General features: G+C 53.8%; 1 protein-coding gene and 2 non-coding genes across 19 annotated transcripts, besides 12 other annotated features; all 3 read left to right on the top strand.

Annotated features, from left to right (window-relative positions):
• Positions 159–775: an enhancer, noted in NCBI's record as "H3K27ac hESC enhancer chr19:12834517-12835133 (GRCh37/hg19 assembly coordinates)". NCBI's record gives its function as "activates a minimal SCP1, AML or CMV promoter by ChIP-STARR-seq in primed H9 embryonic stem cells {active_cell/tissue: H9 hESC(primed)}" and the evidence as "EXISTENCE:reporter gene assay evidence [ECO:0000049][PMID:30033119]".
• On the top strand, positions 546–25,277 carry TNPO2 (transportin 2). Of its 17 annotated transcripts, none has more exons than NR_167977.1 (26): positions 546–709; positions 1,113–1,229; positions 3,488–3,599; positions 5,142–5,217; positions 5,300–5,449; positions 8,768–8,845; positions 8,940–9,073; positions 9,154–9,235; positions 9,309–9,431; positions 9,539–9,657; positions 12,865–12,925; positions 13,017–13,182; positions 13,705–13,857; positions 17,683–17,908; positions 18,111–18,282; positions 18,710–18,796; positions 18,879–18,986; positions 19,080–19,238; positions 20,677–20,764; positions 20,952–21,050; positions 21,560–21,655; positions 22,331–22,406; positions 22,627–22,726; positions 22,806–22,880; positions 23,025–23,152; positions 23,235–25,277. NR_167977.1 is itself a non-coding variant. In NM_001382237.1 (26 exons), exons 3-25 carry the CDS (start codon positions 3,501–3,503, stop codon positions 23,130–23,132), a joined length of 2,664 nt encoding a protein of 887 aa, NP_001369166.1. In that variant the 5' UTR covers positions 546–705; positions 1,113–1,229; positions 3,488–3,500; the 3' UTR covers positions 23,133–23,152; positions 23,235–25,277. The 17 variants fall into 17 exon arrangements, 11 of the variants coding, with proteins under 11 accessions (NP_001369166.1, NP_001369169.1, NP_001369167.1 ...); NR_167976.1 differs by having other exon boundaries at positions 22,301–22,406; NR_167975.1 differs by having other exon boundaries at positions 8,739–8,845; positions 22,834–22,880.
• Positions 776–1,394: an enhancer, noted in NCBI's record as "H3K27ac hESC enhancer chr19:12833898-12834516 (GRCh37/hg19 assembly coordinates)". NCBI's record gives its function as "activates a minimal SCP1, AML or CMV promoter by ChIP-STARR-seq in primed H9 embryonic stem cells {active_cell/tissue: H9 hESC(primed)}" and the evidence as "EXISTENCE:reporter gene assay evidence [ECO:0000049][PMID:30033119]".
• Positions 1,395–2,012: an enhancer, noted in NCBI's record as "H3K27ac hESC enhancer chr19:12833280-12833897 (GRCh37/hg19 assembly coordinates)". NCBI's record gives its function as "activates a minimal SCP1, AML or CMV promoter by ChIP-STARR-seq in primed H9 embryonic stem cells {active_cell/tissue: H9 hESC(primed)}" and the evidence as "EXISTENCE:reporter gene assay evidence [ECO:0000049][PMID:30033119]".
• Positions 1,447–1,596: an enhancer, noted in NCBI's record as "active region_14074". NCBI's record gives its function as "activates an Ori minimal core promoter by ATAC-STARR-seq in GM12878 lymphoblastoid cells {active_cell/tissue: GM12878}" and the evidence as "EXISTENCE:reporter gene assay evidence [ECO:0000049][PMID:35858748]".
• Positions 2,013–2,631: an enhancer, noted in NCBI's record as "H3K27ac hESC enhancer chr19:12832661-12833279 (GRCh37/hg19 assembly coordinates)". NCBI's record gives its function as "activates a minimal SCP1, AML or CMV promoter by ChIP-STARR-seq in naive H9 embryonic stem cells {active_cell/tissue: H9 hESC(naive)}" and the evidence as "EXISTENCE:reporter gene assay evidence [ECO:0000049][PMID:30033119]".
• Positions 2,097–2,186: a silencer, noted in NCBI's record as "silent region_10159". NCBI's record gives its function as "represses an Ori minimal core promoter by ATAC-STARR-seq in GM12878 lymphoblastoid cells {active_cell/tissue: GM12878}" and the evidence as "EXISTENCE:reporter gene assay evidence [ECO:0000049][PMID:35858748]".
• Positions 3,158–3,237: a silencer, noted in NCBI's record as "silent region_10158". NCBI's record gives its function as "represses an Ori minimal core promoter by ATAC-STARR-seq in GM12878 lymphoblastoid cells {active_cell/tissue: GM12878}" and the evidence as "EXISTENCE:reporter gene assay evidence [ECO:0000049][PMID:35858748]".
• Positions 3,248–3,387: a silencer, noted in NCBI's record as "silent region_10157". NCBI's record gives its function as "represses an Ori minimal core promoter by ATAC-STARR-seq in GM12878 lymphoblastoid cells {active_cell/tissue: GM12878}" and the evidence as "EXISTENCE:reporter gene assay evidence [ECO:0000049][PMID:35858748]".
• On the top strand, positions 17,960–18,029 carry SNORD41 (small nucleolar RNA, C/D box 41). The gene has a single exon (NR_002751.1). It is a non-coding gene; the product is annotated as a small nucleolar RNA, C/D box 41 (small nucleolar RNA).
• Positions 20,425–21,033: an enhancer, noted in NCBI's record as "H3K4me1 hESC enhancer chr19:12814259-12814867 (GRCh37/hg19 assembly coordinates)". NCBI's record gives its function as "activates a minimal SCP1, AML or CMV promoter by ChIP-STARR-seq in primed H9 embryonic stem cells {active_cell/tissue: H9 hESC(primed)}" and the evidence as "EXISTENCE:reporter gene assay evidence [ECO:0000049][PMID:30033119]".
• On the top strand, positions 20,807–20,881 carry SNORD135 (small nucleolar RNA, C/D box 135). Its single transcript, NR_132756.1, has one exon. It is a non-coding gene; the product is annotated as a small nucleolar RNA, C/D box 135 (small nucleolar RNA).
• Positions 21,034–21,643: an enhancer, noted in NCBI's record as "H3K27ac-H3K4me1 hESC enhancer chr19:12813649-12814258 (GRCh37/hg19 assembly coordinates)". NCBI's record gives its function as "activates a minimal SCP1, AML or CMV promoter by ChIP-STARR-seq in primed H9 embryonic stem cells {active_cell/tissue: H9 hESC(primed)}" and the evidence as "EXISTENCE:reporter gene assay evidence [ECO:0000049][PMID:30033119]".
• Positions 22,141–23,340: an enhancer, noted in NCBI's record as "CDK7 strongly-dependent group 2 enhancer chr19:12811952-12813151 (GRCh37/hg19 assembly coordinates)". NCBI's record gives its function as "activates an origin of replication core promoter dependent on BRD2, BRD4, P300/CBP, MED14 and CDK7 cofactors, with strong dependence on CDK7, by STARR-seq in HCT116 cells {active_cell/tissue: HCT116}" and the evidence as "EXISTENCE:reporter gene assay evidence [ECO:0000049][PMID:35650434]".
• Positions 22,254–22,863: an enhancer, noted in NCBI's record as "H3K4me1 hESC enhancer chr19:12812429-12813038 (GRCh37/hg19 assembly coordinates)". NCBI's record gives its function as "activates a minimal SCP1, AML or CMV promoter by ChIP-STARR-seq in naive H9 embryonic stem cells {active_cell/tissue: H9 hESC(naive)}" and the evidence as "EXISTENCE:reporter gene assay evidence [ECO:0000049][PMID:30033119]".
• Positions 25,278–25,692: the final 415 nt, after the last annotated feature.

Here is a 25,692-nt window from a genome sequence, read left to right as displayed (position 1 = left end):
ACAAAAACAACAAAACAACAAAAACCCAAAACCTTGTCCTGATTCAACACTCAAATTCACCAGCTGGAGAGGAAGAAAAAATTCCGTGACCACACAAGGGCCAACAATGTGGACCACACATGCAGCAGGGGCTACTTTGTTCTGCCCCAAGGCTTGCGGAGGGCCGCTGAAAATTTGCCATATTATATGAAGGGGGTGAACCTTAACAAATTGTCTCCTGCATCCCAAACTCGCTCCCCATCTGATCTTTATCTGGGGCAGCCCCCAAATTTGACCAGAAAGCTCTTATCGTTCACACTCGCTCCAGGAACCCCCAAATCCAGCCCCAGCTCCCCAGTCTCACTCTTCTGCTCCCCATGCACCTCGGTTGGTCTAGAGACCCTCCTGCCAATTTGAGTCTCAGCCAAAACCCCAAAGCGCGGCGACCCTGGCGCATGGCAGGACGGGATTTGTAGTTCCAGGGCTTATCGGAGGGTGGGGGAGAGGGAGGCCTTTACGCATGCCTTGGTGGCGGCTTTCTGCACGTGTTTCTCAGCCCAGGTTTCAGTCCAGCGGAACTGGCTACCTCGGAATCCCAACTGCTCCTTTAGGGTGTCTTCCGCGATTCTCCGAGTGGAGTTAGGCGCCTGCCGACACTTCCCTAACCTTGGAGGCCCGGGACTTGATTTTCATGAATGAACGGAGCCGGGACTGACTTTGCCTACGGCAAGTGGGTTGAGATAGCTGTTCCCCTCCTTCAGGCAGGGGCAAAAATTGACCTCTGCCTCTCTCGAGGGTCAAAAAGTTCCTCAGGGCAGGGTGGGTTGTTCTTTGGGATTAGAGCTGGTGAATTCATTAAATATCGGCTTAGGGAGGGGCTGAATACAGTAAAAGAACAGCCTTGAGCCTTGGAGGGTAAAGCCACGTTTTTAAGGAACAATTCAGAGCTGGCCAGGTCATGCTTAACTTGGATGATCTCTAATCGCGCGAACTGCTCTTATACCCATTTGACAAGTGGGGAAACTGAGGCTTCAAGTGGCAGGAGGTCTCCCACTTTGTTATCGGCAGGGCAGGGAGGGGAAACCAAGACGCTACAGGGTCTCCAGCTTTTTACCATCTGCTCCTCTCTCAAGAGAAGGAAAAACGGTGCCCTACTGTCTTCAGACGTCGCAAGGATCAAGAAGATTTCTTTCTTCATGACCCTGCCCTTGCCAGAATTTCCTGCGCTGTTCCACCTCATTCAACTTCAGGTAGGGAAAGGGATTAGGCGTGGTTCAAAGTTTATTTTATTAGTTCATTTCGTTTTATTCAAAAATTTATATCCTTGTGGCTTTTTCATCTCCTTGTAAAAACTATCAAACAGTACTGGAAAATAATGCAAAAAGTGGCAGAGGCTTCTGTAGGAACCCGGCTTGTCTCAGGCACTTACTTTGTCCTGCTTTCTTTCCTTTGTCTCTGGGGTATAAAGAGCACGCTCAGCTCTTTCCTTGCGCACACACAGCGTACTCCTCCCAAGTACCTCTGGATGGGGGAAGGGAGGCACATTTCAATTTTTAGTGGAGGAAGGTGACAAGGAGGGTGCTGGCTCTGGCCGAGGGGTTCCTGGATCCATCACACACAAAGTCCCCACGCGCTACCAAACTCCTGGCTCCAGCTAAAGAGCTTGCGGTCAGGTCAGTGAAAGATGCTGGGAAAACGAGACACTGGGAGGACCGGCTGGCTAGAGAGGCCAAAGAAACGGCAACTCTTTGGTCACGTGACCGGACCTTGTCTCAGCCCGGGTTTCCCAAGTGCCAGGGCACGTGTGAAGGTTGAACCTTCCGATTGGCTCGGCGGGACCAGTTTGAACGGAGTACGGGAGCCGCGGCGGCTCACCTACGGCCGCGTTTTTCTTTTTTTTTTTTCTTTCTTTCTTTTTTTTTTTTTTTTTTTTTTTTAATTCTCTCTCTTTGGCTCCCTCCTTCCGCGCGAGTCTCTGGAGAAGCCGCAGCGCGAGTTGCCGCCGCTGCTGCCCGGGGCCGGGTAAGTGGGCCTCACTCAGAGCCCGACCCTCTTGGCCCCGGCTTGCGTCGACCCCCGCCGGGCACCGAGCCTGCGCCGCGCGCGGCCCGGGCGTCGGGGCCGCGCCCGACCGGGAAAGGCCGGGAAGCCGGTTGGGCCCGATCCTCCTGGCAGCTAGAACGGGCCGGGCGGGGGAGGGGGGAACCGAGCAGAGCTTAGGGGGTGGGGCCTCGGAGCCAGGCCATGTCGGGGCTCCTCAAGAAGAGGGCCAGTGGGACTGCTGGGGTCGGGCTGGAGGGGATCTGATTGGGGGAAGCGTCTGGGGACTGCTTGGGGCCTGATTGGGGGACGTCGCGAGGATCGGGTGTGTGTAGGGGCCTGTTTCGGTGGGGCTTGGTTGGGTCTGATTGGGGGAGGCCGCACTGAAAAGTTGAGCGGGGTGGGGGGAGGGGAGCTCGTTGGGTCCTGACAGGGAGGGGCGTCAGACTTCGGCCTAGAGGGTTTTCTTGGATCTGACTTCGAGGCGTTGCTGGGATCCGTTGAGGGGAATGCCCCGGGGGGTGTTTACCCAGGCCGAACTGGGGGAGGCTGCAAGGATCGGACCAGGGGGTTACTGACACGAGGTGGTGGGGGGCTCGGCCGAACTTGACTGGGAGAGGCAACAGAGATCCGTCAGCAGGGGTTACTGCTGACAGGGTCGGAGGGAATTTCAGGGAGAGGCTTGGCCAGACCTGATTGGGGAAGGCGACTGGGATCGGTCCAGGGGGCTCCTATAGTGGGTTGGCCGGGCTTGGCTGGCTCTCATTCGAAGAGGCAGCAGAGACCTACCTGGGGACTGCTTTGGGCCTGATTAAGGGGAATCCTTAGAATTTGGCTAGGCCACAGAGGGGGATATCTGGCATCCACTGAGCTTGAAGGGCAGGAACAGGGGACAGGAGAGATCAGGACGATCGTCTTGGGAGGGCGCATCTGGGGAAGCTCAGAAATTGGACTAGGGCAGGAGGCCTCTGGGATCTGGCAGAAGTTAAGGGCAGAGTGTCGGGGGAAGGGGACTCTTCAGGGACTGTGCCTGCATAGAAGAGACCACGGGGGCCGGGGCGCTATCACGGTCTGGGGCGGGGCCCCTGGATGTGGAGGCGGCTGGGCCCTCGCCCAGCCGCTGCGAGGGAGGTGGAAGCCTTCGGGCTCGGAGCCGGGGTCAGCGGCATGGGCCACCCTGGGACGAGGGCTCTTCGCTGGGTCCCATGAGGATCCGCCGGGCCCCGCCGCCGCCGCCTGTGGCCCGTTTCCACATCCCCCCTCCCGCGCTCCCGAGCCCGCGACTGCGCGGCCGAGGATGGCGCAGCTGGCGGGGACCCCGCACTTGGGCGGGCGTGGATCGGAGGCCTCCGCCTGTCCGCCGAGGGCGTTCCCGTCGTCATGCGGCCACCGCGGCCTCAGGGGCTCCACCTGGGTCTCACACGGAGCCCCAGAGACCCAGCGCTGACCCCGGCCCCTACCTCCGCAGCTTGCCTTGCGCCATGGACTGGCAGCCAGACGAGCAGGGCCTGCAGCAGGTCCTGCAGCTGCTCAAAGACTCACAGTCGCCCAACACAGCCACTCAGCGCATCGTGCAGGATGTATCCTTCCTTCCTTCCGGGGCTGGGGGAGCCGGGTAGATGCGTGCAGTTTCCAAAGGCCAGAGAGAGAAAGAGAGGGACTGACTCCCCTAGTCCCCAGATTTTTTCTGCTGTGCGGAGGATCTGCCCTGGACAGAGAAGGATTACAATTCCTGGGTCCCATTTCCAGAGCTGCGGGGATTGTTATAGAAAATGATGAAAATTCCTAATGTTCATCGAACGCTAGCATCTACTCCATTAACTATTAAAGTAGGCCCTGGCCCAACGGGGTGGCTCATGCCTGTAATCGGAGCACTTTGGTAGGCCGAAGCAGGTAGATCGCTTGGGCCCAGGAGTTTGAGACCAGCCTGGGCAACATAGGGAGACCCCATCTCTACAAAAAATACAAAAAATAGCTAGGTGTGGTGGCATGCACATGTAGTCCCAGCTACTTGGGAGGATGAGGTGGGAGGATGGCTAGAGCCCAGGAGGTAGAGGTTGTGGTGAGCTGAGATTGTGCCACTGTACTCCAGCCACCCTGGGCGACAGAGCCAGACCCTGTCTCAAAGAAAAGATATATAGGCCAGGCGCGGTGGTTCACGCCTGCAATCCCAGCACTTTGGGAGGCCGAGGCGGACGGATCACCTGAGGTCAGGAGTTTTGAGACCAGCCTGGCCAACATGGAGAAACCCTGTCTCTACTAAAAATACAAAAATTAAGCCAGGTGTGGTGGCAGAAGCCTGTAATCTCAGCTAATTGGGAGGCTGAGGCAGGAGAATCGCTTGAACCTGGGAGGCGGAGGTTGCAGTGAGCGGAGATCGTGCCACTGCACTCCAGCCTAAGTGACAGAGTGAGACTCTGTCTGAAAATAAATAAATAAATATTTAAACCATGAGCATGACTCACCCCAAAATTTGGATTCCCTCTTTTAAAAAAAAAAAAAAAGTCTTCATGGCCTGTTAGTGGGGATCGCTGACTAGTAGCTGCCACTTTAAGAGGAGTGGGATTCTCCTTCCCTCTCCTGCTCTGGCTGGGTCTTCAGGAGTGGATGGGAAACTCAGACATTTCCACCCAACTCCTTGTATGATTTTTTTTTTTTTCAAGATGGAGTCTTGCTCTGTCGCCCAGACTGGAATGCAGAGGCGCAATCTCGGCTCACTGCAACCTTCACCTGCTGGGTTCAAGCGATTCCCCTGCGTCAGCCTCCCAAGTAGTTGGGAATAGAGGCACGCACACATCATGCCCGGATAATTTTTTTGTATGTTTAGTAGAGATGGGGTTTCACCACGCTGGCCAGGCTAGTCTCGAACTCCTGACCTTGTGATCCACCCGCCTTGACCTCCCAAAAAGTGCTGGGATTACAGGCGTGAGCCACCGCGCCCGGCCCCTTATATGAATTTGACGTGTCTGAGGTGCTCTGTGTCATTGTGGGCTTATTAGGGAGCGGGATCCCCCAGGAGCTGGCAGCCTGGTCCCAGTGGTCAGAGATAGTGTCAGGTACATAATGAGGGGACCTGGCTGGGGGAAGGCCTCTGTCTTCCAAGTCCCTTAACAGCCTGGCAGAAACTCAAACAACTCAATCAGTTTCCTGACTTCAACAACTACCTGATTTTCGTCCTGACCAGACTCAAGTCAGAAGGTACGCCCTCTGCTCCCTTCCATGCGATCGGGACCCTGCTTTCTCCCCCTGGGCCCCTGAACCTCAGCCTTCCTCCTCCCAGATGAGCCAACGCGCTCTCTCAGTGGCCTCATCCTCAAGAACAACGTGAAGGCACACTATCAGAGCTTCCCACCCCCTGTGGCAGACTTCATCAAACAGGAGTGTCTCAACAACATTGGCGATGCCTCCTCGCTCATCCGAGCCACCATTGGTGAGAGGGGCAGCGGGGGTTGGCCTCTGAGGACACACTGAACTCTCACTTCTCAGCATGTTAAGTGTAGTGCTTCATGGAATGCTCTGGCACCCTCTATGGTAGTACTATTACTATTGCCATTTGATAGATGAGGAAGCTGAGGCGCTGAGCTATTAAGGGACCTGTCTGGGTAAGCAGCAGAAGTCAGAAACAGCTGAGGCAGTGCAGGGCCACGCTCTGGAACCACTCCCTCCTGAAACAGTCCTTCTTGGCTCTGAGACAGTCATGCAACATCTAGAATTTTGTGTTCGGCCTTGGGCTGAGTGCTAAGGGTATAGCAGTTAAAATAATGCAGGTATTCATGTTTCAGGTGCAACGGAATTAGGTTTTCAGCAGAGCCTTTTCTGACTCTTGGAAGGTGGCCTGAGGAAGTTACAGAAAGATGACTAAGAATAGGCTCACGCCTGTAATCCCAGCAACTTTGGGAGGTCAGGGTAGGCAAATCACCAGAGGTTGAGTTCAATACCAGCCTGGCCAACATGGTGAAACCCCGTCTCTACTTAAAATACAAAAAACTTAGCTGGCCAGGCATGGTGGCTCACACCTGTAATCCCAGCATTTTGGGAGGCTGAGGTGGGCGGATCACAAGGTCAGGAAATCAAGACCATCCTGGCCAATGTGGTGAAACCCCATCTCTACTAAAAATAGAAAAAATTAGCTGGGCGTGGTGGCACTCGCCTGTGGTCCCAGCTACTCGGGAGGCTGAGGCAGGAGAATCACTTGAACCCAGGAGTTGGAGGTTACAGTGAGGCGAGATGGCGCCACTGCACTCCAGCCTGGCAATACAACGAGACTCCATCTCAAAAAAAAAAAAATTAGCTGGGCGTGGTGGTGAACATCTATAATCCCAGCTACTCAGGAGGCTGAGGCAGGAGAATTGCTTGAACCCAGGAGGCAGAGGTTGCAGTGAGCCGAGATTGCGGCACTACACTCCAGCCTGGGCAACAGAGCAAGACTCCATCTCAAAAAAAACTAAATAAAATAAAAACAAAAAAAATGACTTCTGGCTGGGTGTGGTAACTCACGCCTATAGTCCTAGCACTTTGGGAGGCCAAGGCAGGCGGATCACTTGAGATCAGGAGTTGGAGACTAGCCTGGCCTACATGGTGAAATTCCGTTTCTACTGAAAATACAAAAAATTACTTGGGAATTACAGCTGGTGGGCACCTGTAATCCCAGCTACTCGAGAGGCTGAGGCAGGAGAATTGCTTGAGCCCGGGAGGCAGAGGTTGCAGTAAGCCAAGATAATGCCACTGTACTCTATCCTGGGCAACAGACTGAGATTCCATCTCAAAAATAAAAAGTAACTTTTAGTCCTGCAAAAACCCCCTCCCAGGCCAGTAGTAGGATGTGGACTTCCTGAGCTCATTCTATGTGCCAGGCTCTTTGCTAAGTCATTGAAACTTACTGATCCAGGCTGAGCACAGTGGCTCACGCCTCTAATCCCAGCACCTTGGGAGGCTGAGGCAGGTGGATCACCTGAGGTCAGGAGTTCGAGACCAGCCTGGCCAACATGGTGAAACTCTATCTCTACTAAAAATACAAAAATTTGCTGAGTGTGGCAGCGGGCACCTGTAATCCCAGCTGCTTCAGAGGCTGAGGCAGGGGAATTACCTGAACTCGGGAGGTGGAGGTTGCAGTGAGCCAAGATTGTGCCACTGCACTCCAGCCTGGACTACAGAGTGAGACTCCATCTCAAAAAAAAAAAAAAAAAAAAAGAGAGAAAAAGAAACCTACTGATAACCTTAGTTAGGAGGCTGGTTTTCTTTATCTCTTCTGAGGGCTGGAAGCACTGAGGCACACAGAATGAGGGGGTGTGGCTAAAGTTCCACAATCCTCACTGTGTACCTACCCATTGCAGGGAGCACCTTTCTCTCGTTGAGTTTCCACCCTTGGGAAACACTGCCATCTCATGGCAGCAAATACCATCTCTGCACTTAACAGAACCCATATCCAGCTCTGTCACCAGATATGTGCACTGTCCTGGCACCTCAGATGCCTGCTGTATGTAACTCCTGGATATCTAATAGGCAGTACAAGCATCCCTGCCACCTTCCTGCCCTTACCTCCTTTCCCTCTCTCATCATGCCTGTCCTTACGCCAGGCCTTTGCACCATAGAGTCCCCTGCCTCAGATGCCCTTTCCCCAGAAACCTGGATGATTCCTCCCTCGCCTCCTTCACCTCCTTCAGGCCTTGGCTCAGATATCAAGATGTCACCTCAACGAGGCCTGCTCTGGCCACCCAATTTAAAGTTGCTACCTTCACCTACAGCCCTTTCTCACCATCTTTTCTGCTGTATTTCCCCCCTTAGTCCTTGGCATGTGGCCCCTCCCAGTTGTTTGTTTTTGTTTTGTTTGTTTTTGAAATGGAGTCTTGCTCCATCCCAGGCTGGAGTGCTGTGGCGCGATCTCTGCTCACTGCAACCTCTGCCTCCCAGGTTCAAGTGATTCTCCTGCCTCGGCCTCCCAAGTAGCTGGGATTACTGGTGCCCCCCACCACACCCAGCTAATTTTTGTATTTTTAGTAGAGATGGGGTTTCACCATGTTGGCCAGGCTGGTTTCGAACTCCTGACCTCAAGTGATCCACCCACCTCGGTCCCCCAAAGTGCTGGGATTACAGGCATGAGCCACCCATGCACGGCCCCTCCCAGTTTTTTTTGCTAATTTATCTTTACTTCATAGCTTGCTTCCAGCTCCCAAGGGTGAGGATTTTGTGTTTTGCTCTGTGCTGTGCCTCAGGGCCTGGAACAGAGTTGACTCACAGTAAGGCTCAGGGTGCCTACTGAGTCAAGGAGTACCCTTCTACCTATGTCAAGGCCAGGAGCGGTGGCTCACGCCTGTAATCTCAGTGCTTTTGGAGGCCAAGGCAGGAGGATTGCTTGAGGCCAGGAGTTTTAGGCCAGCCTGGGCAACATAGTGAGATCCCATCTCTACAAACAATTTTAAAAATTAGTTGGGCGTGGTGGCATGTGCCTGCAGTCCCAGCTACTTAGGAGGCTGAGGCAGGAAGATGGCTTGAGGCCAGGAGTTTGAGGCTGCTGTGGACTATTGATTGTGCCACAGCAGTCCAGCCTGGGCAACAGAGCTAATTCTATCTCTTACAAAGAAAAAAAAAAGGAGGGGGGATGTAGAGGGCGTACATGGGCTAGGGAACAGAAAGGCAGCACTGGGGGTGTCCAGTGGGAGGGGGAGGTGCTAGGCAGCCCCTGCCCAGCCTCAGGCAGCGTCCTTTCCCGGCCGCCCCAGGCATTCTCATCACCACCATCGCTTCCAAGGGTGAGCTGCAGATGTGGCCCGAGCTGCTGCCCCAGCTCTGCAACCTGCTTAACTCGGAGGATTACAACACTTGTGAGGTAGGCAAGAAGCCATGGATGGCCAGAGCGAGTACTGGGGGGCTGGGACCACCACCCACCACCCACGTTTGTCTCTCTGCCCCTCTGCACTCAGGGAGCCTTTGGAGCCCTGCAGAAGATCTGTGAAGACTCATCAGAGCTTCTGGACAGTGACGCCCTCAACAGGCCCCTCAACATCATGATCCCCAAGTTCCTGCAGTTCTTCAAGCACTGCAGTCCCAAGATCCGGTGGGTGCAGCTCCCTGGGGGCTTCCAGGGAGCCTGGAGTGGGCAGGGTCAGGGTGACCCACGTGTCTGCTCCCCGCCAGGTCCCACGCCATCGCCTGCGTGAACCAGTTCATCATGGACCGGGCCCAGGCGCTGATGGACAATATTGACACCTTCATCGAGGTGGGCCGCTGGGCTGGGGGTGGGCAGGGCGAGGACTGAGGGCCCCTACAACTGACCCTGTTCCTCCCTGCAGCACCTATTTGCCCTGGCTGTGGATGATGACCCCGAGGTGCGGAAGAATGTGTGCCGTGCCCTGGTGATGCTTCTGGAAGTGCGGATTGACAGGCTCATCCCCCACATGCACAGCATCATCCAGGTGTGCATGGTCAAGGCCAGCCCAGGCGGGCAGGCAGGGGGCCGGTGGCAGGGGTCAGGGAGCCACCCCCAGCCAGGCCAGGCCTCAGCTTCTCCCCCCTACCACAGTACATGCTGCAGAGGACCCAGGACCATGATGAGAACGTTGCCCTTGAGGCCTGTGAGTTCTGGCTGACGCTGGCCGAGCAGCCCATCTGCAAGGAAGTCCTGGCCTCCCATCTGGTCCAGTGAGTGCTGCTGCTGCCCACTGTCCTACCCCAGCTTCGACCCCTTGCTATGCCTCTGCCTTCCCTTCTGGTCACCTGCTGTGCTTCTCTCAGTCCACATCCTTGTCAGTTTACATTCAGTATATATTTATGTGTAAGTGGTAAGAATGCCACTTTTTGAAGACTTCAAAATTAGGTAACTGATAGGTGGAAAGAAATGAAAAATCAATGGCCACATGTGGTGGCTGACACCTGTAATCCTAGCACTTTGGGAGGCCGAGGCGGGCAGATCACAAGGTCAGAAGATCGAGACCAGCCTGGCTAACACGGTGAAACCCCATTTCTACTAAAAATATAAAAAAATAGCTGGGCGTGGTGGCAGGCGCCTGTAGTCCCAGCTGCTTGGGAGGGTGAGGCAGGAGAATTGCTTGAACCCAGGAGGCTGAGGTTGTAGTGAGCCAAGGTCGTGCCACTGCACTCCAGCCTGGGTGACAGAGCAAAACTCCGTCTCAAAAAAAAAAAAAAAAGAAATGAAAAATCAACAAAGGCTTCAGGGGTATGGCTGTATCCAGGAGCTCAAAGGATGTGAAAGGCATCTTTGTGGTCTCAGATCTGCTTCCCTTGTGTTGGCTTCATTCTTAGGCACAACCTTCCCTCTGGGTAGTGCTGTAGCCTTCTGTGCCCTTCCAGCTTAGGAACTTCAGAGTAAAGAAATTTTCGACCAGTGTTTCCAACAAAAGTCCTAAAACTGACCCTCCTTGACAAACTTGGATTGCTTGCCTCTCTCCAAATCATTTTTTTCTTTTTTATTTTGAGACAAGGTTTTGCTCTGTCATCCACGCTGGAGTGGAGTGTCAAAATCATGGCTCACTGCAGCCTTGACCTCCCAGCTGAAGCAATCCTCCTACCTCAGCCTCCCAAGTAGCTGGGATTACAGGCACATCCCACCACACCTAGCTAATCTTTTCTAAGTTTTAGTAGAGATGAGGTCTTGCTAAGTTGCTCTGGCTGGTCTCGGATCCCTGGCCTCAAGCAGTCCTCCTGTCTTGGTCTCCTAAAGTGTTGAGATTACAGGTGCGAGCCACTGTACCCAGCCCCCAGATCATTATTATTATTATTTTGAAATTTCTGTTTTTGAGACGGAGTCTCACTCTGCTGCCCAGGCTGGAGGGCAGTGGCACAATCTCGGCTCACTGCAACCTCCGCCCCTCGGGTTCAAGCGATTCTCTTGCCTCAGCTTCCTGACCTTGTGTTCTGCCCACTTTGGCCTCCCAAAGTGCTAGGATTACAGGCGTGAGTCACCACGCCCAGCATATTGTATGTTTATTTATTTATTTATTTATTTATTTATTTATTTATCATTCATTAGAGGTGAGGTCTCACTATATTGTCCCAATTGGTCTCAAACTTATGGGCTCAGGCAATCCTCCTGCATTGGTCTCCCAAAGTGCTATAATGACAGGTGTGAGCCCCTGTGCCCGGCCCCAAATTATTGATAACAGTCTAGGGCTGGGCAGACGGCTCCTGGGGAGTGATGAGACCTAGATGAGCAGGTGATGAAGGCTCTGTCACTTACAACTCTGGGCTGCAGCTGAGGGGCTGGCTGCCTAGTCTGTTTGCTCCCCTACTCTGGCTAGTCTCTGCCCTATCTCAGGAAAGTGGCCAGGAATAGGACCGCATGTCCCTGCCTTAATGTTGTGCTAGGGACCAGGCACTGTACCAAGATTTTCAGTGTATTCAGGGGTCTATAATCCACTGAGTGGCCAGGCCTGGGTCAAGAGCTTTCCTGCAGGCTGAGTGCCATGGCTCACGCCTATAATCCTAGCACTTTGGGAGGCTGAGGCAGGAGGATTGCATGAGCCCAGGAGCATGAGGCTGTGGTGAGCTGTGATCGCACCAGTGCACTCCAGCCTGGGTGATAGGGTTACGTAGGGACCAGCCCCACAGGGTCGGTGGGTCTCTTCCTGTGTGCGGCGATGAGAGAGTGTAGAAATAAAGACACAAGACAAAGAGATAATAGAAAAGGCAGCTGGGCCCGGGGGACCACTACCACCAATGCGCGGAGACCGGTAGTGACCCCAAATGTCTGGCTGCGCTGTTATTTATTGCATACAAGGCAGAAGGGGCAGGGTAAAGAATGTGAGTCACCTCCAATGATAGGTAAGGTCACATGGGTCACGTGTCCACTGGACAGGGGGCCCTTCCCTGCCTGGCAGCCGAGGCAGAGAGGGAGAGTAGACAAAGAGAAAGACAGCGTATGCCATTATTTCTGCATATCAGGGACTATTAGTATTTTCACTAATTTACTACTGCTATCTGGAAGGCAGAGCCAGGTGTACAGGATGGAACATGAAGGCAGACTAGGAGTGTGACCACTGAAGCACAGCATCTCAGGGAGACGGTTAGGCCTCCGGATAACTGCGGGCAAACCTGACTGATGTCAGGCCCTCCACAAGAGGTGGAGGAGCAGAGTCTTCTCTAAACTCCCCCGGGGAAAGGGAGACTCCCCCACTTTCCTGGTCTGCTAAGTAGCGGGTGTTGTTCCTTGACACCTTTTGCTACCGCTGGACCATGATCCGCCTGGTAACGGGCGTCTTCCCAGATGCTGGCGTCACCGCTAGACCAAGGAGCCCTCTGGTGGCCCTGTCCGGGCATAACAGAAGGCTCGCACTCTTGTCTTCTGGTCACACCTCACTATGTCCCCTCAGCTCCTATCTCTGTATGGCCTGGTTTTTCCTAGGCTATGATTATAGAGCGAGGATTATCATAATATTGGAATAAAAAGTAATTGCTACAAACTAATGATTAATGATATTCATATATAATCATATCTAAGATCTATATCTGGTATAACTATTCTTGTTTTATATTTTATTATACTGGAACAGCTCGTGTCCTCTGTCTCTTGCCTCGGTGCCTGGGTGGCTTGCCGCCCACAGGGTTAGACCCTGCTTCTTAAGAAAAAAAAAAAAAAACCTTTCTCTGGAGGCAGGAGTGGTATCATTTATATCCTAATCATAGCGGCAGAGACTAGATTCCGATAATTCCCCAGAGGGAAATGGATCAATTTGCACCTAGCAGTACCATCATGCTCTGCAGGGTCTGCTCTGTGGCTGATTGGGGGGCTGGTCACTCTGTTGGCACCTGTTTGCCTCCTCCCCAAGCTGTGCCTCCCCCCAACTTTTGCCACGGCCCCTGCATCCCCATAAACAGTCCCTCTCTGTGCAGGTTGATCCCCATCTTGGTGAATGGGATGAAGTACTCGGAAATTGACATCATCCTGCTCAAGGTCAGGCAGGGCCCACCCAGCATGGGTGGGCATGGGCGTGGGTGTCGCGGCTGTGGTCCCCAAAGTACTTAACAGTCTGCCTGTCCCCCAGGGGGATGTGGAGGAGGATGAGGCTGTCCCCGACAGTGAGCAGGACATCAAGCCACGCTTCCACAAGTCACGCACGGTCACACTGCCCCACGAGGCTGAGCGGCCTGATGGCTCCGAGGACGCGGAGGATGACGATGATGATGATGCTCTGTCCGACTGGAATTTGAGTGTGTGCCCCTGCCTGGGGGTGGTGGTGGGGTGGCAAGCCCTGGACTCCCTCTTGGGAGGTGACTAGAAGCTGAGGCAGAAGCTGATTAGAAGCTGATCGTGGCCGGGCGCAGTGGCTTACGCCTGTAATCCCAGCACTTTGGAAGGCTGAGGCGGGCGGATCACGAGGTCAGGAGATCAACACCATCCTGGCTAACACAGTGAAACCCCGTCTCTACTAAAAATACAAAAAATTAGTCGGGCGTGGTGTCGGGCGCCTGTAGTCCCAGCTACTCGGGAGGCTGAGGCAGGAAAACGGCATGAACCCAGGAGGCGGAGCTTGCAGTGAGCCGAGATAGCGCCACTGCACTCCGGCCTGGGCGGAAAAAGTGAGACTCCGTCTCAAAAAAACAAAACAAAAAAAAAGAAGCTGATCGTGAAGATTCTGAGCATGATCTCTGATCCTGGGAGTGCAGTCAAGGAGGGTCGGCCACCTGCCTGAGGGGCCGCCCTGAGCCTCCCCATTGTTCCCCCTTCCCCAGGGAAGTGCTCAGCGGCTGCACTGGACGTCCTCGCCAATGTCTTCCGGGAGGAACTGCTGCCCCACCTACTCCCACTACTCAAAGGCCTCCTCTTCCACCCCGAGTGGGTGGTCAAGGAGTCGGGCATCCTGGTGCTGGGCGCCATTGCTGAGGGTGAGTGCGCCTGATCTCTGAGCCCTGTGCTGGCATGAGACTGTAGGGCTGGCCCACATTACTAGCCACACCAATGCCTCAGTTCTCCCTGGAGGCCTACTCACCCCACTCCAAACAGCTCTGAGATCTCAATTCTCCCCTTGGTTCCTGGGCCTGAAAGGAACCCCTGGAGCCCCACAGTGCAAGGCCTCTTGTTCATTCTTGCAGGCAGGTAGTTCTTTCATGTTGTAAGCATAATTACAGCAACAATGATAATAACAGCAGGCACAGCTGCATGCTTGCCTCGTGCACTTATGTAGACAAACATCCTTGGCCCTCACCACCACCTGATGAGCTGGGTGCCGGATCCCAGTTTCGAAGATGGGGAAACTGAGGTACAGAAAGATTGATGCCACTTCCTTACAGTCACTCAGGGTGTGTCTGGGCCTTAAACCTGTTCCTGGCTGCCGGGCTGGCCTGCCAGAGTCAGTAGTAACCCGTGGTAGGTGGTGTTTCATCAAATTCAACCTGGTGTTCTGTAATCGGTGGGGTTTTCAGGCTCCCATGGTCCCGGTGGGACATAAAACTTGTTACAGGAGGGCTTTGTGAGTCCGTTGGAGGCATCATATACCATTGCCTCAGCATCCAGACCTGTGCCAAAAATTTCAGGCATGGCAGCAAAAACCCTCAACCTTGTAAGCTTTCAAAATTTGTCTAAAATTTGTCTAGTTACTGTGGTGCACGCCTGTAATCCCAGCTACTCAGGAGGCTGAAGCAGGACAACTGCTTTAGCCCAGGAGTCCGAGACCAGCCTGGGCAACATAGGGAAACCCTCTTTCTACAAAAAATTTTTTAAAAAGGCCAGGTGTGGTGGCTCATGCCTGTAATCCTAGCACTTTGGGAGGCTGAGGCAGGCAGATCGTTTGAGCCCAGGTGTTCAAGACCAGCCTGGGCAATATAGTGAGACCTCATATCTACCAAAAAAAAAAAAAAAAAAAACCTGATAAAATTAGCCGGCGTGGTGGTAAGTGCCTATAGTCCCAACTAACTGGGAGGCTGAGGTGAGAGGTCAAGGCTGCAGTGAGCCATGATTGCGCCACTGCGTTCCAGCATGGAGAACAGACTGAGACCCTGTCTCAAAAAAAAATTGTCTAAAGAAATGTTTCGACATGTAATATGTGTTTAATGTATCTCATATCTCATGTTAATAGGGTATATATCACACAATACGCTTACATATGTTAATAGATTACATAAGCTGTGTTATTTATTTATTTATTTGAGACTGAGTCTTGCTTTCTCGCCAGGCTGGGGTGCAGTGGCATGATCTTGGCTCACTGCAACCTCCGCCTTCCAGGTTCAAGTGATTCTCCTGCCTCAGCCTCCTGAGTAGCTGGGACTACAGGTGCATGCCACCACGCCCAGCTAATTTTTTTGTATTTTTAGTAGAGACAGGGTTTCACCACGTTGGCCAGGATGGTCTCTATCTCCTGACCTCATGATCTGCCTGCCTTGGCCTCCCAAAGTGCTGGGATTACGGGTGTGAGCCACCTTGCCCAGCCAGCCACCACGCCTGGCCTCTTTTTTTTTTCTTTTTTTTTTGAGATGGAGTCTCCCTCTTATCGCCCAGGCTGGAGTGCAGTGGTGTGATCTTGGCTCACTGCAACAACATTCTGCCTCCCGGGTTCAAGCAATTCTCCTGCCTCAGCCTCCAGAGTAGCTTGGGATTGCAGGAATTCACCACCAGGCCTGGCTAATTTCTTTTTTTTTGAGACGGAGTTTTGCTCTTACTGTCCAGGCTGGAGTGCAATGGCGCAATCTTGACTCACTGCAACCTCTGCCTCCCGAGTTCCAGAGATTCTCCTGCCTCAGCCTCCCAAGTAGTTGGAATTACAGGTGTCCACCACCGCACCTGGCTGATTTTTGTATTTTTAGCAGAGACGGGGTTTCTTTCACTGTGTTGGTCAAGCTGGTTTCGAACTCCTGACCTCAGGTGATCCATCTGCCTCAGCTTCCCAGAGTGCTGGGATTACAGGCGTGAGCCACCGCACCCGGCCTGTATTACATGTTTATGGTAAAAAGATCTATAGGAGTTGAGCTCAAACTGGTAAACATAGATCTTGTGTCTTGGATTATTGGCAATGTGCTATTATCTTTGTTCTCTTTAAATAAAAGAGCAGAGTTCGTGATATTTTAAAAAAAAAAAAAAACCCTGGGTGTGGTGGCTTAAGCCTGTAATCCCAGCACTCTGGGAGGCCAAGGCGGGTGGATCACCTGATGCCAGGGGTTCAAGACCAGCATGGCCAACATGGCAAAACCCCATCTCTGCTAAAAATACAAAAATTAGCCAGGTGTGGTGGTGCATACCTGTAGTCCTAGCTATTGGGAGGCTGAGGCACGACAATCACTTGAACCTGGGAGGCAGAGGTTGCAGTGAGTGGAGATCACACCACTGCACTCCTCCTTGGGGGACAGAGCGAGACTCTGTCTCAAAGAAAACATTAAAAAATTGTTAAAAATGGCTGGGCACAGTGGCTCACGCCTGTAATCCCAGCACTTTGGGAGGCCGAGGCGGTTGAATCAACTGAGGTCAGGAGTTCGAGACCAGCCTGGCTAACACGGTGAAACTTCGTCTCTGCTAAAAATATGAAAAATTAGCCACACGTGGTGGCCCACGCCTGTAGTCCCAGCTACTGGGGAGGTTGAGGCAGGAAAATTGCTTGAATCAGGGAGGCGGAGGTTGCAGTGAGCCAAGATTGTGCAACTGTACTTCAGCTTGGGCAACAGAGCAAGACTCCGTCTCAAAAAAATAATAATAATAAATTAAAAAATTAAACAAAAATAAGGAGAAATAGAACAATCATAAACGGCCAGACACCTATAATCGCAGCACTCTGGGAGGCTGAGGTGGGATCACGTGAGGTCGGGATTTTAAGACCAGTCTAGCCAACATGGTAAAACCCCGTCTCTACTAAAAATATAAAAATTAGTTGGGTATGGTGGCGGGCGCCTGCAGTCCCAGCTACTTGGGAGGCTTAGGCAGGAAATCACTTGAACCCGGGAGGCAGAGGCTGCAGTGAGCCCAGATCACACCACTGCACTCTAGCCTGGGCAACAGAGCAAGACTCCATCTCAAAAAAAAAAAAAAAAAAAAAAAAAAAAGAAAACTCACAAACATCTTAAGAACTGTTTCAAATGCAAAGTGCTTTTATTCCATTTGGGTCACTGCTGCCCCATAAAACCCCACTCACTATGTAACGGAGCCAATTTTGAATTAACACATGAATTCAATTAACACATGAATTAATGCATGAATTGAATTAACGCAATAACACGGAGCTCTTTGGCTGGGCGCGGTGGCTCACGCCTGTAATCCCAGCACTTTGGGAGGCCAGGGCGGGTGGATCACGAGGTCAGGAGACTGAGACCATCTTGGTCAACATGGTAAAACCCTGTCTCTACTGAAAATATAAAAAATTCCCCGGGCATTGTGGCAGAGGCCTGTAATCCCAGCTACTTGGGAGGCTGAGGCAGGAGAATTGTTTGAACCAGGAGGTGAAGGTTGCGGTGAGCCATGATCGTACCACTGCGCCCCAGCCTGGGCGACAGAGCGAGACTCTGCCTCAAAAAAAAATAAAGATAACCCGGGGCTTTGGGATGAGAGGCTTCTGTTGTTTCCCCTCCTGTGCCTGCCTTTACCTGGCTCTGTGAAATGAGTCTGGGCCAGTGATTTAAACTCTAAGCCTCAGTTTCCCTATATGTTGTGTGCGGCTGACTCTTCTCTCCATACGGTGGGTGTGGCTGGGCCCAATCAAACTGCCCCCTCTTGGTTCCCTTTCCTTGTAGGCTGCATGCAGGGCATGGTGCCCTACCTGCCTGAGCTGATCCCGCACCTGATCCAGTGCCTGTCGGATAAGAAGGCCTTGGTCCGCTCCATCGCCTGCTGGACGCTGAGCCGCTATGCCCACTGGGTGGTCAGCCAGCCACCCGACATGCACCTCAAGCCCCTGATGACAGAGCTGCTCAAACGCATCCTGGATGGCAACAAGAGGGTACAGGAGGCGGCCTGCAGGTGACCCTGGACCCCTGATCCCACAGCCCCCACTCTCCCCCGGCCACCCTCTGGGAAGTGATGACACCTGTGACTGTTGATGTGGAACTGATTTATCGCGTATTCGTACTGGCTGATCCTGAGTTGCCCTCCCCAACTGCCCATGGCCCAGTGTCACCTGCCATGGTCCACTGAGCCCCCGCTTCATCCTCCCTCCCACCAGTGCTTTTGCCACCCTGGAGGAAGAGGCCTGCACGGAGCTGGTGCCCTACCTCAGCTACATCCTGGACACCCTTGTCTTTGCCTTTGGGAAATACCAGCACAAGAACCTGCTCATCCTCTATGACGCCATTGGCACCCTGGCCGACTCTGTAGGCCACCACCTCAACCAGCCGGTGAGACCCCAGAGCGGCTCCCGCCTCCCGATCCCCGTGCCCCTGGGCATCCAGTGACCTGGTGGCAACCCCGTGTTGCACGCCAGGGACGTGGCCGTGACCTCGACAGGCAGACAGACAGACCCGGCCCCGCCCTCGCCCTGCTCCCAGTCTAGTGGGGGAGAAAGACAGTTATGAGACAGCGTGGTAAGTGCTGTGCTTCGGGAACCAGGAGGTGGTAACCCAGGCTCCCGGGGGGTGGGGTGGGGCGGGCGGTGCTTGGACAGGTGAGAAGAATGAAGGCCTCGAGGTCTGGCCAGATGGCAGGCCTTTCAGGGTCCCATGAGCCACGGTGAGGCGCTCAGGCCTCATCACTCGGGCAACAGGTACCTGAGTCACAGTCTGCCACCCCGACCCAGGGAGCGCCCATTTCGTGCTCCCTCTCCAGGAATACATCCAGAAGCTGATGCCCCCACTGATCCAGAAGTGGAATGAGCTCAAGGACGAAGACAAGGACCTCTTCCCCCTGCTGGAGGTGAGTGGGCTCCTGCCCCTCACCCGAAACCCATCCTGCCCACCCTGCCTGAGTTCTCCCCACCTGCCTTCCTCCCTGCCAGTGTCTGTCATCGGTGGCCACCGCCCTGCAGAGTGGCTTCCTGCCTTACTGTGAGCCCGTCTACCAGCGCTGTGTCACCCTGGTGCAGAAGACACTGGCTCAGGCCATGGTGAGCAACCCTAGGCCCGTCACCTGTGCTTCTGCATTGGCCTGCCTCGGGCCTGCTCCACTTACCCGTGCCCCTGTCGGCATCTGTGTCTAGATGTACACCCAGCACCCTGAGCAGTATGAGGCTCCCGACAAGGACTTCATGATCGTAGCACTGGATCTGCTCAGCGGCCTGGCCGAGGGCCTGGGTGGTCACGTGGAGCAGCTGGTGGCCCGCAGCAACATCATGACATTGCTGTTCCAGTGCATGCAGGTGGGTGGGGACCCTGGACAGTGATGACACCCAGCAGCCTGCGTGGGCTGCCCCTGGTGGGGAGTCAGGGCCTGGTTGTGCCCAAAGGAAATCAGGGAAAAGGTGCTGTTCTAATTATTTTAAAGAGTAATCCTGGAGGCCGAGGCAGGATTGCTTGAGCCCAGGAGTTTGAGACCAGCCTGGGCAACATAGTGAAACCCCAGTTCTAAAATTAAAAAAAAAAATTTTTTTTAAAGCAAACAGTATTGAAAATAGAAAATGTGAGGCCAGGTGCTCACGCCTATAATCCAGCACTTTGGGAGGCTGTGGCAGGTGAATCACTTGAGGTCAGGAGTTTGAGAGCAGCTTGGCCAACACGGTGAAATCCTGTCTCTACGAAAAATACAAAAATTAGCCAGGCATGGTGGTAGGCGCCTGTAATCCCAGCTACTTGGAAGGCTGAGGCAGGAGAATTGCTTGAACCCAGGAGGCAGAGGTTGCAGTGAGCTGAGATCATGCCACTGCACTCCAGCCTGGGCAATAAACTGAGACTCTGTCTTCAAAAAAAAAGAAAGAAAAGAAAATAGAAAATGTGAAAGCCCAAGTCCCTGCCCCAGCACAGTTGGCTCTCTGTATCTGTGGGTTCTACATCCCAAGATTCAAGTAACCTCAGATTGAAAATACTCAGAGGAAAAATTACATCTGTACTGAACGCATACAGAAGTTTGTTCTTGTTATTATTCCCTAAACAATACAGTATAACAACTATTCCCATACTGTTGACATTGTATTAGATATAAGTGATTTAGAGATGATGCTAAGTGTACAGGAGAATGTGCATAGGTGCATATGCAAACACTATGCCCCCCCCACCGCCCCCCACCTGTTTTTTGAGACAGAGTCTCACTCTGTCACCCAGGCTGGAGTGCAATGGTGTGATCTCGGCTCACTGCAACCTTCACCTCCAGGGTTCAAGCAGTTCTCCTGCCTTAGCCTCTCAAGAAGCTGGGACTACAGGCGTGTCCCACTATGCCTGGCTAATTTTATTGTATTTTTAGTAAAGACAGGGTTTTGCCATGTTGGCCAGGCTGGTCTCAAACTCCTGACCTCAAGTGATCTGCCTGCCTCGGCCTGCCAAAGTGCTGGAGATTACAGGCATGAACCACTGCGCCTGGCCCTAACACTGTGCCACTTTATATCAAGGACTTGCACATCCGTGGATTTTTATATCTGCAGGGACCTGGAAAGAATCCCCCACGGACACTGAGGGATGACCGTTGGGGCACTGCCATCTCCCATTTGCAGATGTGGGCTGGAGGCTAGGGAGGTTAAGGAACAGCTAGGAGCTCTAGAACTGGAAAGTGGCAGAGGCTGGACATGCACCAGGGACTGTGCCCCCTGAGCTGTCCTGGTTAGAAGGAGGGGAGCCTAGCCACACTGATCTTACTTGAATCCCCAGGACTCGATGCCTGAGGTCCGGCAGAGCTCCTTTGCCCTCCTGGGAGACCTCACCAAAGCCTGCTTCATCCATGTCAAGCCCTGTATCGGTACGACACTCGCCTTGTCCCTAACCCATGACCCCAGCCCCGGCCTCAAGTGATGGAGAGCAATACCCGGGGATGACTGTGACCACATTGGGATGTATTCGTACTGTCTGATGGGGCCTGCTGGACTAGGTCCTGCAGCTTACCCTGGCTGGCCCTCCTTCTCAGCACCCCTGTTTCTCCCCACCAGCCGAGTTCATGCCCATTCTGGGCACCAACCTGAACCCAGAGTTCATCTCCGTCTGCAACAACGCCACCTGGGCCATTGGTGAAATCTGCATGCAGATGGGTGAGTGCCCTGCAAGTGGCAACACGCGCCCCCCATTAGCCTGTTCTCAACCTGGGGGCGGGAGCCTAGCTCTGACTGACAGCTTCCTTCAAGGCAAGTCTCTTGGGGGTCGTCAGGGGTGGAGCCAAGCAGAAAGGTCATTTGTGATTGGCTTCTCTAAAGAGGAGGGATAGGAGGGCTGTTCTGATTGGACCGTTTTGTGTAGTTGGCTAAAAGACTCATTCGGATTGGTTGGGTGACTTTGGCTTTTTTTTTCCTTTGACTTGGGCAGCGTGTTGTCACCTTAGCGACTCCAGAGAAGCCTCTGTTGTTTGGAGGGTGTGGGTCTGTCCCTGGTTGGCCAGGGATTCTGGGTGGGGATTAGCCGGAGAAGGTCTTTTGTTTCCTCACTGGTAGTGGTTGGCCAGTCTCTAGTTGGAACTGGGGCGAGTAGTGAGTGAGGTGGGGCGGCCCCCTGGCCCCTGTGGGTGGCGGGGGCTGTGCAGGGCTCTGACTGGGTGCTCCCCCAGGGGCAGAGATGCAGCCTTATGTGCAGATGGTCCTCAACAACCTGGTGGAAATCATTAACCGACCCAACACACCCAAGACACTGCTGGAAAACACAGGTGGGCACCTGGCCCGGCTGCTGCCTGCACCCCTGCCTGCCTTCTGGAGGTGGGGTTCTGGGCTGGGAAGGGCATCAGAAAGAGCCTTGTCAAGGAACCAAGGAGGGTGTCTGGAAGTACCTGGAAGGGGTCACTGGGAGAAGCCCCAAGAAAGATGCAGCCTCAGGCTGGGTGCAGTGGCTCATGCCTGTAATCTCAGCACTTTGGGAGGCAGATCACCTGAAGTCAGGAGTTCGAGACCAGCCTGGCCAACATGGTGAAACCCCATCTCTACTAAAAAATACAAAAATTAGCCGGGGGTAATGGCACGTGCCTGCAATCCCAGCTACTCGGGAGGCTGAGGCAGGTTGCAATGAGCCAAGATCATGCCACTGCACTCCAGCCTGGGCAACAGAGCAAGACTCCATCTCAAAAACAAAACAAAACAAAAAAAAACAAAAAGGAAAGGGAAAGGAAAGAAAGAAAGATAGATGCAGAGAGACCTGGGAAGTGACTCAGGTGTGATGAGGAGGACCCCTGGCTGGGCCAAGCTTGGGGGACCAGGGTGGCTGCAGTAGCCATTCCCTTGGGGCTCATGGGGCGGGGCTTGGTGCCTTGTGCCAGAGGCCCCGCCACGTACCGTCCCGGGGCCGCTCGGGGTTGCAGGTCGCCTGACGAGTCCCTCTGCCATTCCAGCCATCACCATCGGCCGCTTGGGCTACGTGTGCCCCCAGGAGGTGGCACCCATGCTGCAGCAGTTCATCCGGCCTTGGTGTGTGTCCACGTGTCAAGCCTGCTGTGTGGTGGGCGGGACTGGCCCAACCCCCTCCCTCGCCTGTGCATTTCCAGCCCCATCTGCCTACTGACTCCCTGCCCTGCCCCACCCCCACAGATGCATGTCCCAGGCCCACTCACTGATCCCCAGTGACCCAGCCCTCCACAGATGCATGCCCAGCCTGCCCTCTGACCTCCAGCTGCTCACCTTCCCACAGGTGCACGTCCCTCAGGAACATCAGGGACAACGAGGAGAAGGACTCAGCCTTCCGCGGCATCTGCATGATGATCGGTGTCAACCCGGGGGGCGTTGTGCAGGTTGGGGCAGCTGGGCTCTGAGGGCAGGCGCGGGCGCTGGGCTCGGGCGGCCCCTCACCTGGGATCCGTCACGTTTCAGGACTTTATTTTCTTCTGCGATGCTGTAGCCTCCTGGGTGAGCCCGAAGGATGACCTTCGGGACATGTTTTATAAGGTGAGGCTCTGTCTGGGCCCTGATCTAGTTCCGGGAGCAGGCAGGGGTGAGACCATCTGGTAACAATGGGGCCTGGGGATGGGGGAAGAGGCGCACTCCCCTTGTTCTGCCCCTGCCTACCCCTCACCACCACCCTCCCCACAGATTCTCCACGGCTTCAAAGACCAAGTTGGGGAAGATAACTGGCAGCAGTTCTCTGAGCAATTCCCGCCGCTGCTCAAGGAGAGGCTGGCGGCTTTCTATGGGGTCTAGGTGATCATGGAGACTGCCAGGTAAGGAGACTGCAGCTGGCAAGTCAGCACTGTCTTGGGGGCCGAAAGGTCCCAGGCCATGACCTTCCTCCTCCCCCTGCAGGTTTCTGTCTGCGTCGTCGTCGGAGGGATTACTGGGGAGTGCGCTGCATCCGGAAGTCGCTGTGCCCTGGTTGAGGGGGGTTAGGGAGGAGTGAGTGGGACTCAAATCCAGATGCCTTCCCCGTCCGTCCGTCCGTCCGTCCATCCGTCCACTTGCCCTCCTGGCAGGTGGGTGGGGCCACCATGCTCATCCTACAAACGGGGAGGTGGGGGGGACTTCTGGTGGGCAAGGGCCCCTGGGCTCTAATAGGGTCATCTCTGGCAGCCCACTTGGGCCAGCTACGTGGGAGGGAGGAATTACACAGCTGACCGAATCCGGCTTCGGATGAGGTGAGGGAGGAGCAGGTCAGGAGGGGGGCCCTCGTAGGGACGCGTACACTCACACGGACACACATGGCCACACGCATGTGCGGGTGCCATAACCGGCGAGGCTGGGCCAGCCGCTCCACCATTTCCCCGACTGCATGGAGACAGTAGAATTAGTGAACCCCTGAGTTAACCCGTAAGGCCTTCCGTGTAACCTGCATCTAGAGTTTAAGAAGCTTCTGCTGTTTTGCCGGAATTGGCGGTGACTGGGGAGGGCTGGGTGGGTGGGGGGCCTCAGGCGGGATCTCGGGGCGGGGGGAGGAGGATGGTGACCTTGGGAGTCGCCCTGTCAGCACGCACATGCTTGGGACCCACTCCACACACTCCCTGCCAGCTTTGTTGCAGCCTCAGCTGGTGGTGTCTCCGTCCTTATCCTAGCCTAGCTCGCAGGGTGAGAACCACTGGAGTGGCTGGGGCTGGCCAGAGGTCACCGTTTCTCCTTCCTGTGTGCTCCAGTGGCTTTTGAAGACACTGGGTTGGGACCTTTTTCCTGAAGAGAGCTGGGTGTAGCCAGAGCTACTGGCACCTACCCCGAGCATCTCTCTCTGTAAGCAGCTTCAGGGGCAGTCCGTTTCTCTGTGCTTCTGAAACCCCCTTCTCACGTTTCAGGCCCCAGTTTTAACTCAAGGCCTGGGGCAGGGGCGTTTAATTGATGATGACAGAGGACACAGGTTTTTGCCAGCAAAAAGGAAAACCAAGGCTTGGTGGAAGGGAAAGGTGGTGTGTCCCCTGTTCCCTATTCCATCTCCCTGGGACTTCCTGCTCATCATAGTACCCAGTGAGCCCAGAGATCCTACTAGACTGGGTCAGCAATTCTAGAGAACCTTCCGGAATAGTCTGGGAACATGGTCAAGGTGGAAGGGGCTCCCCTAGAGAGGGTGGGGGTGTAGTTACTTCCCAGTTGGCCAGAAAACTGGGCCTTGCAGACCCCCTTAGCATTTTTTCCCTTTTTTTCCTTCCCTGCTTTCTACTTCTTTGGGGAGCCCCTTGTGTTTTGGAGTCTGACTGGAGTCTCGCATCCTGGGGCCTGCTCCATCCATCCCTCCTGGGCGCCAGACCCTCCATCCAAGCCCTGTGTCTTTCCATAGTCAGGGTCAGGCCCTGCATCTATTCCAAGGGGCACTCAGTACACATTCCATAAATTAGCTGGGTGTCCCTGCACGCCCACCCCATGAAACTCGAGCAGGTCTCTGGAAGCCATTTGTTAAAAAAAAAAAAAAAAGTTTTAAAAATACCTTTTAATTTTCTGGTAATTCCAGTTCTTTGAAGCATCCTCTGCTGGGTCTTGGGGTGTGTGGATGGATTGGCTGTCTGATGGGATTGGTAACCCCTCGCTACTCAAGATGGGGGGATACAAACACCTTCAGGGAAGGGGAGCCTGGTTCTTCTCGTTTTCCTTTTTTTTTTTTTTTTTAAAAAAAAACTATTTAATTTTTTAATTTATTTTTGGTTGTTTTTTGCACAATGAAGTTTCAGCTTCTCAACCTTCTCCCCTACCCAGGGCTGTGGACCCAGACTGGCCTTGAGCCACAGTCCCTCTTTCCCTCCTCACCCTCTTCCCCCTGCGGGCTCCCGGGTCTGTCCATTTGTTACTGTGCTGTGCTGGGGATTGGCGCCGAGGTGGCGTGAGATTCCACTTGTGTAGAACTTTGTTGAGTAAAGATCAGTTTCTTGTGAACTCCTTAGTCTGTGGCTTCCTGTGTCCTTGGCTTTGGTAGTGAAGAAATGTCGGGGGCACCGGGGATACTTGAGAGTGGGAAGATAGACGAATGTGAAAGATGGAAGATTAAATTTGTAACATATATGAAATGTGCAGCTCATTCTCTGGGACTTCAGCTCACTAAGGGTGAGCCATTAGTGTCACAGCCCAGGTTCAAGATGCCCCTCTGCCGTACTCTAAACTGAGTGGTAAGGGGTGAGGCCTTGCCGCACTCTTATCATCAGCTGACCCTGGGTCAAGGTTTTCATAGAAGGTTCAGCCCAGCCCCAGGCCGAGGGTAATTTAATTAATATTAGTTACAATTACTCAGGCAAATGAGAAGTAGTTTCAGCTGTGGGGGGAAACCACAATCTTCAGAATAAAATCTTTCTTT

This window comes from Homo sapiens, chromosome 19, assembly GCF_000001405.40.
Source record: "Homo sapiens chromosome 19, GRCh38.p14 Primary Assembly".
Classification (NCBI taxonomy): domain Eukaryota; kingdom Metazoa; phylum Chordata; class Mammalia; order Primates; family Hominidae; genus Homo; species Homo sapiens.
This window is presented reverse-complemented; position numbering and strand designations above follow the sequence as displayed.